General features: G+C 42.8%; 4 annotated features.

The window, feature by feature from the left end:
• Nucleotides 270-319: an enhancer, noted in NCBI's record as "active region_23469". NCBI's record gives its function as "activates an Ori minimal core promoter by ATAC-STARR-seq in GM12878 lymphoblastoid cells {active_cell/tissue: GM12878}" and the evidence as "EXISTENCE:reporter gene assay evidence [ECO:0000049][PMID:35858748]".
• Nucleotides 2,509-2,678: an enhancer, noted in NCBI's record as "experimental_82818 CRE fragment used in MPRA reporter constructs". NCBI's record gives its function as "activates a minimal promoter by MPRAs in K562 erythroleukemia cells, with activity observed for both the introgressed and non-introgressed 5:151858077 variant alleles {active_cell/tissue: K562}" and the evidence as "EXISTENCE:reporter gene assay evidence [ECO:0000049][PMID:34662402]".
• Nucleotides 4,513-4,682: an enhancer, noted in NCBI's record as "experimental_82809 CRE fragment used in MPRA reporter constructs". NCBI's record gives its function as "activates a minimal promoter by MPRAs in K562 erythroleukemia cells, with activity observed for both the introgressed and non-introgressed 5:151856073 variant alleles {active_cell/tissue: K562}" and the evidence as "EXISTENCE:reporter gene assay evidence [ECO:0000049][PMID:34662402]".
• Nucleotides 7,746-7,915: an enhancer, noted in NCBI's record as "experimental_82779 CRE fragment used in MPRA reporter constructs". NCBI's record gives its function as "activates a minimal promoter by MPRAs in K562 erythroleukemia cells, with activity observed for both the introgressed and non-introgressed 5:151852840 variant alleles {active_cell/tissue: K562}" and the evidence as "EXISTENCE:reporter gene assay evidence [ECO:0000049][PMID:34662402]".

Raw genomic sequence — 8,666 nt, 5'->3', positions numbered from 1 at the left:
ATCATATGGATTTGAGATTGAAACTTATACAAATAGTTTCTAATCCATCAACTCAAGTTATCAGATGTCAACATGGTCGGAAGCTGCTGAGGTTCCTGGAGTACTCGTCAGAAGCCAATGAAAAAAACACCCTAGACTCTGACTCTGACTCTGACTCTGACTCTGACTCTGACTCTGACTCTCACTCTGACTCTCACTGACTCTAACTCTGACTCTGACTCTGACTCTGACTCTGACTCTCCCTCTCCCTCTCCCCACAGTCTTCCTCTCCCTCTCCCTCTCCCCACGGTCTCCCTCTCCCTCTCTTTCCACGGTCTCCCTCTGATGCCGAGCGGAAGTTGGACTGTACTGCCGCCATCTTTGCTCACTGCAACCTCCCTGCCTGATTCTCCCGCCTCAGCCTGCCGAGTGCCTGCGATTGCAGGCGCACGCCGCCACGCCTGATTGGTTTTAGTATTTTTTTGGTGGAGACGGGGTTTCGCTGTGTTGGCCGGGCTGGTCTCCAGCTCCTAACCACAAGTGATCTGCCAGCCTTGGCCTCCCGAGGTGCCGGGATTGCAGATGGAGTCTCATTCACTCAGTGCTCAATGTTGCCCAGGCTGGAGTGCAGTGGCGTGATCTCCGCTCGCTACAACCTCCACCTCCCAGCCGCCTGCCTTGGCCTCCCAAAGTGCCGAGATTGCAGCCTCTGCCTGGCCGCCACCCCGTCTGGGAAGTGAGGAGCGTCTCCGCCTGGCCGCCCATCATCTGGGATGTGAGGAGCCCCTCTGCCCGGCTGCCCAGTCTGGGAAGTGAGGAGCACCTCTTCCCAGCCGCCATCCCGTCTAGGAAGTGAGGAGCGTCTCTGCCCGGCCGCCCATCGTCTGAGATGTGGGGAGCGCCTCTGCCCCGCCACCCAGTCTGGGATGTGAGGAGCGCCTCTGCCCGGCCGTGACCCCGTCTGGGAGGTGAGGAGCGTCTATGCCCGGCCGCCCCGTCTGAGAAGTGAGGAGCCCCTCCACCCGGCAGCCGCCCCGTCTGAGAAGTGAGGAGCCCCTCCGCCCGGCAGCCGTCCCATCTGAGAAGTGAGGATCCCCTCCGCCCGGCAGCCGCCCTGTCTGGGAAGTGAGGAGCATCTCCGCCCGGCAGCCGCCCCGTCCGGGAGGTGGGGGGCAGCCCCCGGCCGGCCAGCCGCCCCGGCAGGGAGGGAGGTGGGGGGCAGCCCCCGCCCGGCCAGCCACCCCGTCCGGGAGGTGGGGGGCAGCCCCCGCCCGGCCAGCCGCCCCGTCTGGGAGGTGGGGGGCGCCTCTGCCCGGCCGCCCCTTCTGGGAAGTGAGGAGCCCCTCTGCCCGGCCGCCACCCCGTCTGGGAGGTGTACCCAACAGCTCATTGAGAACGGGCCATGATGACGATGGCGGTTTTGTCGAATAGAAAAGGGGGAAATGTGGGGAAAAGATAGAGAAATCAGAGTGTTGCTGTGTCTGTGTAGAAAGAAGTAGACATAGGAGACTCCATTTTGTTCTGTACTAAGAATTCTTCTGCCTTGGGATGCTGTTGATCTATGACCTTACCCCCAACCCAGTGCTCTCTGAAACATGTGCTGTGTCCACTCAGGGTTAAATGGATTAAGGGCGGTGCAAGATGTGCTTTGTTAAACAGATGCTTGAAGGCAGCATGCTCGTTAAGAGTCATCACCACTCCCTAATCTCAAGTACCCAGGGACACAAACACTGCGGAAGGCCCCAGGGTCCTCTGCCTAGGAAAACCAGAGACCTTTGTTCACTTGTTTATCTGCTGACCTTCCCTCCACTATTGTCCTATGACCCTGCCAAATCCCCCTCTGCGAGAAACACCCAAGAATGATCAATAAAAAAAAAAAAAAAAAGAAAAGAAAAAACACCCTAGAGAAAGAACATAGCACTAGTCCCAGCATGGTGACTTATGCCTGTAATCCCACACTTTGGGAGGCTGAGGCAGGAGGGTAACTTGAGCCCAGAAGTTCAAGACCAGCCTGGGCAACATAGCAAAACCCCATCTCTATAATTTTTTTTTTAAAAAATTAGCTGGGCATAATGATGAATGTCTCTAATCCCACCTAACTGGGAGGCTGAGCCCAGGAGTTGAAGGCTGCAGTGAGCCATGATCACACCCCTGTACTCTAGCCTGGGTAACAGAGTGAAATCTCGTCTCAACAAAATGAAACACAAACCACATAGCACCTTTGGCTACAGAGGATTCTATCAGATACAATACCACCGAAATAAGCAGGCAATAAAAAATTATAAAACACAAAAGGATATCCTCTAGGATGAGAATTAATAGACACAATAGGATGGCTAAAACCAAGAATTTCAGATAAAACAAAATCTAAAAAAACAATATAAAAGTAAGCCTAGGACAATTTAAAAATAAAGAGAACTGTTTAAAACTAGAGAGAAAGACTTTGAAAAAAATATTTAAAGTTACTAAAGGTATGCCTAGAAACAAATCACTGAAATTTACAATTCAATCATTTTGTAACCACCAGGTCATCAGAAGTTAGAAAAAATGGCAATAACAAGTGTTGTTAAGGATATGGAGCAATGAGAACTCACTTCACACACTCCTGGCTAGGGGTGCGATTTGGAAAAACACGCATCACCTAGTAAGCTGAAGGTGCCCATAACCTCGTATCCCTGCACAATTCTGCTTTTGTGCATTTAGATAAATACCCTAGAGACTCTTGCCCTTGTGTAGTAAGAGCTGCACAAGAATTTTTATAAAAGTGTAATCATTCAGAACTGGCTTCAGCACTAAAGAAGAAAGGTATAATCAACAAGAAATGTTAAAGATTGTAGTATATTCACACAATGCAATACTGTATAGCAAGGGGAAAAAATAAAGATACCAATTTGGATGCATCTCAGGAATAGATACTTGTTTTATGTCTGACAAATGTTTTTTCCCTCTGATAACCTTTCCTCTGAAGTATGGTTCTATTTTTATAAAAATCAAAAAATTATAAGACTAGCCAGTATACTGCTTATATATCCATAACTACATAGCAATATTTTAAAAGAAAAGAATGTTAAACTCATGAAGAGATAAAACTTGACATGGTTCCAAAATGAAAAAAAAATTGTATTTCAATAGAAAAACAAGTTTATTAGATAACTATATGGAATGTACTCCACTAAGTCTCATTTTCAATTTTTCCTCTCTCTGTTCCAATTGCTTCCTGCAGCTGATTTTTTTGGGTAGTTTCTACTTTCTCCCTCTGATATTTTGTGTTATACACAAAAGGCAGCATGCTATATCACTACAGCATTTATTTTTCTGCTGTATCAGTCAGGGTTCTCCGGAGAAACAGAGCCAATATGAAAGAAGATAAAGAGATTGACTTTGAGCTTTTGGGATTTTAATGAATTGGCTCAACTTGATTGTGGAGCTGGCAAGCTCAAAGTTTTTAGGGCAGGCAAGCAAGTTGGAAATTCAGGCAGCATTTCTATGCTTCAGTCTTGAGGGAGAATGCCTTCTTCTCCAGGAAACCTCAGATTTTGCTCGAGACCATCAACTGATTGGATGAGGCCCACTCACACTATACAGGGTAATCTGCTGTACTTAAGGCCAACTGATTGTACTACATTTGATCTTAGCCAAAATGCTGAGAAGCAATCCAGCTGACTGTAAATGTTACACTTACAAAGTATCTTCACAGCAATATCTACATTAGTGTTTCACCAAACAGCTGGGCACATAACCTAGCCACGTTGACACATCAAATTAACCATAATATTTACCTCGCTACCTACCATTCTATATGATGTTTTTCCATTTCCCAATATAGCATAAAGATGATGTCATGTTTACACACAGATATCTTCCTCCTTCACTTTTGCTGACTTTATTGTATAAATATGTTTTTTATTCAATCAAGTCTTTGTTAATGGATGTTTCAACTCTTGTTTTAAAAATAGTGCAAAAAGATCTTGCACATATGTTTCATAACTGTTTCAGCATATTTTAGAAGTAGATTCATAGGTTTGGTATTATTGATAAAATTAATATGTACTTTTCTTTGACACTGAGTTCCCCCTCCATGGCAGTTGGACATTTTAGCTCTGTGTTCAGCAATATAAGAGGTCTATTTTTTGGCATAACTTCTCACCAAAAAGCAATTATATTGTTAAACCTTTAAACTTTTTTCCCAATCTGATAAAAATAAGGAAACCTAGAGGAACAATAAAAGCTATCTGCATAGGAAACTTTTTCACCTCTCAGTAGGCCCAGCCCAAAGCCACCTTCTACTAAAGGAGGTCCAGGAGACTCAATCAGATCTAGGCTCCTCCATTGCAGGAGGGGCAGGAAACACGCTCTCACACAAGACTAACACAAGGCAGAGTTTTGCAGCCCTGGCAGGGGGAACAGGAACACCGAGAAAGCCCCACTGTGAGGTTTAATGCACAGGATCTGCCTAAGACAGAGGCTGGATTAGGAGAATTAAGAATACCTTCTGCCCACCAGGAGGCTTGAATCAAGTAACAAGCAACATCAGTTCCCCCCATTCAATGGGTGGGATTTTTCAAGGGATTGGTCAGGTTCCCTGGAACAACGTGAACCTCCAGATAGAAATCAGGAGCTGACGGCAATGGTATAAATGTTTAATGGGGGACAACCACAAATGCGCAGTGTAGGCTGGATTCTTGAGGGAGCTTCCTCCAATGGAAAAAGAAAGCAGGTTTGAGATTTTCTTGTGAGGGTTACATTTCCATAAGAGAAGAAGGCTGCATCTGCATGGTGACTTGTATTTTCTGATATGACAGTTCCTCCACTAGATGCTAGTGAAGGTTAGGGTGGAGCAGGGAGGCAGAATAGGTGGAGGCAGCCAGCTAGCAATTAGGCAGGTAAGGCCCACCCGGTTGATCTGGTGGAGGAGCAAAGACTTCTGAAAAGTGACACTCTTTGACTACTTCTCACAGCCTTGCTCTTAGAGTACTTCAACTGTCCCAGTGCTCTAACATCTGACTGCCACTGCATGTTCAAGTTGTACGTCAATAGTTATGTGTCTTAAACTGAGAAGTAATACCACTAGATGAACTCTAGGAAAGAATCTACTCTTCTGTTAGCATTTTAGTGTCTCTTCCATCATGGCATAGAGCTGTTATAAAGGGTCACCAGGCCTACAGTCAGTACACAGTGACAAACTCACCCTTCCCCAAATAGACTATCAATCTTGGACAGTGAGCCCCATAATAAATTGGACTTTGTGGATGCTTTTTACATGCCCCAGAGACACAGAGTTACCCTGATTTTTGAGACAGTAGGAAGGAGGAAGGTGTCCCAAAACTTGGCAGCTGGAAAGTGGGTTCTCAGAGTTTAATTCAATTTATTATAAAGAAATGAATGTGTTTTTCTTATACTTAGATATATGGAACAAAATTCATACTCATTTTATATAAATGAGTTTCAACTGTGTATTGCAGAATGTATCTAATAAACTATAAATCCTCAAATTTCCTCAAATCATCTCTTCCAGAGAACATTTGAACAATTAAATACATATTGGATTTTGACAGAAAGGTTGTAAGCAGAAATAAGGAAAACGTGTCTTTCATATATCATGACAATTACATTTCTGACCTGCCCAAGAAATTGTTCCACTTAGAGACCTAGAGGGACTAAATGATCTTTAAAGGTCCCTGGAATAGAAATACTGACACCTTTGAAAATGTATTTCAGTGCTATTGAATATGGCAAATTTTTTGTACAGAATGCTGAGGGTAGACTGAATTGATATAATCCTTTTTAGTAGACATTATTCCACCAATGCTTTCTATTTAAGAGTTCCACTGGAGACAGTGATAGTTACACCAGTTTAAAATGGGTTAGCAAGAGAGAAATTCAATTACACAACTGCCATGAGAAATAAATCTAAATGTTAATATTTCCCTATCCCAGACTCCTCTGGGTCTGGATTTGAAAGAGCTGTAGCAAACCAGAATGTTATCAAAGAGAATTGCTAGACCAATAGCACCCTGAGGAGACATAGTAAGATCACTTTCATGATAAGATGGAATCCAATTAGAACCTGGCCACACAGGAAATGCCTTTAAAGTAAATCAACACATGACCTTTCCTAATGCCTATATTCAAATCCAATACAAGGTGAGAAAGGTTTCAGTCTCGAGGCTGATAGAAACAAGCATTCCTCAACTATGTATCTCTTAATGGGCAAATGTGTCCAACCACAGGCATTGATGGAAAACCAACAGTTTGCTTAACCCTGGAACAGTCATTAGAAGGTTCTCATAATCAACTACACCGGGTATTTATAGAACACTTTACCATTTACAAACCAGTTTCACACACACACACAAACCCACATAAAGCACTATATTTCCCTACTTCTGGAGACAGAGATTAGATTGTGGGTTGGGAGAGTAAGAGCAGATAATGAATATCCTTGAAACAAGTAAATGTACCACTATAGTTGTACATTTTCTGCAATGAGCGAAATGCATACTGTATTTCAGGAAATGTGTTGATTGCTTTACATGTTAAGTTTTATTTATTCAAAAATATATGTAAAGCAGATGCTTGGTACAGTGCTGGGGGGCACTGAAGATACAATAATTAGCTTTAAAAAAAGAAAAACAACAAGACTGATCCCTGGTCTCATGAAACCCATACTTTGGTTGAGGAAGACGGATTAATCAAATTAATCCTACTAACAAATGCACAAAATCGTGAATGAGTGCTCTTAAAAGAGTCTGGCTGTACTTAAGCATGTAAGAAAGGAAATTGACCTAGTAACAGATGTCAGGAAAGCTACCCTGAACAAGTGACAGTTGAGTTGGGCTGCAAGAATATGCACATCCATATTCTGACAACAACAAGATAAGAGAGGTATTAAGTTACTCCCCATTTCAATGTTAGGAAAACTGAGGCTTAGAGGTTAAGGAATCTTTCTAAGTTCTCAGAGCTGGTAAGAAGCTACACTCAAATACAAGAGCCTCCAACTCCAAAGCTTTCACCTGCAACCACTTTATGATGCAAAAATGTCCATGCACTGTGTCAGTGTTTCTCAAAGGGTGGTCCCAGGATGGGCAACATCAGCTTCACCTGGGAACTTGTTAGAAATTTGCATTTCTAACAGTTAAGCTGAAATCAAAACTCTGGGGTTGGCGCCTGGCAATCTATGTTTAACAATTCTTTCAGAGGGTTCTGGTGCACAGAATCCTGTTTGAGAATCATTATATTATGGTATTTCAAGGGAAAAAGGGTTTTCAGGGCTATAATCATCAAGCAGTTCTCATAAAAGATTTGCTTCATGTTCCACCTGACTTCGATTGATGATCAGTTAATAAGAAACAAGACTTGCAAAAGCAATGGTTTACTTAAGATTGCTATATATGTTTGCTATAAGAAATTATGTATTTGTTTACTTGAGACATAAAATGGTACAGAAAATTGAAGTCACTCATTTTGGCTGCAGATTAACGCAACAGCCCTGTGATACTGAACCTACTACTCTTTAAACTCACCAGACTCATGTGGATGAAACCATCCTGAGTGGATTCTCTTAGGCAGAAGGCATGCAACTGATTCACCCCTACAGCTGTGGAAATGTCTTTAAGTTGCCTACGGTAGACTCATAACACAATGCTAAGGCCCATTTCTCACAAACTCACTTTCTTCCCTTCTCCTCAAACTTTGCAGGTAGCAGCAAGATTTAATTCTCTCAAATTTTGCTCATCATGGGCATTGTGGTTGTCTCCTCACTGCACATTCTCCTTCCTTCAGCACATTTGAAGCTCTCCCCTGCCATCTATGAGCTCTGGAAGAAGCCTACCTCTTTGTATAACTTAGACATGAGCTAATCAGCAACTCAGGGGTAAACTAATGAGCATGTTCTCATCCCTGATCAACCAAAACCAGACCAATCAGAAGTAAGGCATGATTTGCTGGAACTTTGAAGAAAACAACTTCCTTGTTCTTACAGTCAGAGCTTAAGGAGCTGCCTTCTCTCCCTGTGTATGCATTAGGAAGCATGCGTCTCCAGGAATTGTTGGCAGTCCTGTTTCAACTATAAAAAAAAAGCTGGTACTGCATAGGGCTAAGGGGGAAAATGAAGGGATGTAGATGGATCCTTGATGGTATTATTGAAATGCTGAATCAAACTAGTTCTGAAATTCACTTAATCTCTAGACTTGCCAGTTACATGAGCCAATCAATCTCCTTTATTAATTCGAACTAAGTTTTTTTCTTATTTGTAGCCCTAACACATCTGAAATGACATTGATCACTCCATTAAGGAGGGCAATTTGACAATGTTGAGAAGCCCTGAAAGTGTATGTACCTTCTGAGCCAGCAGTTTCTCTAAGAATTTATCCTAAGGAAATAGTTGAACAGCTATAAAGATATTTATATGCACAAGCTGATTCATGATATTCTTTAGCACAATACTCTCAATGATCTAAATTTCTAGTGTGGCTAATTAAGTAAATTGGAATATAAAGATACTACTGAATACTATCCAGCCTTGGAAACTGATAAACAAGGCAGCTGCACATTTGTCAGTGAAAGCTGAATCAAATTAGTTGATTTGACTCTACCTCTAAAGGAGGAGTGTGGTAGGCTTTTTCCAGAGCTCATAGATGGCAGGGGAGTGGGGAAAAAAAAACAGGTAATAATGGGCTTTATTAATC

The sequence above is a fragment of the Homo sapiens genome, chromosome 5 (assembly GCF_000001405.40).
Source record: "Homo sapiens chromosome 5, GRCh38.p14 Primary Assembly".
Lineage (NCBI taxonomy): Eukaryota > Metazoa > Chordata > Mammalia > Primates > Hominidae > Homo > Homo sapiens.
Note: the sequence above shows the minus strand (reverse complement) of the source record. Positions and strands in the feature narration are given on the sequence as shown.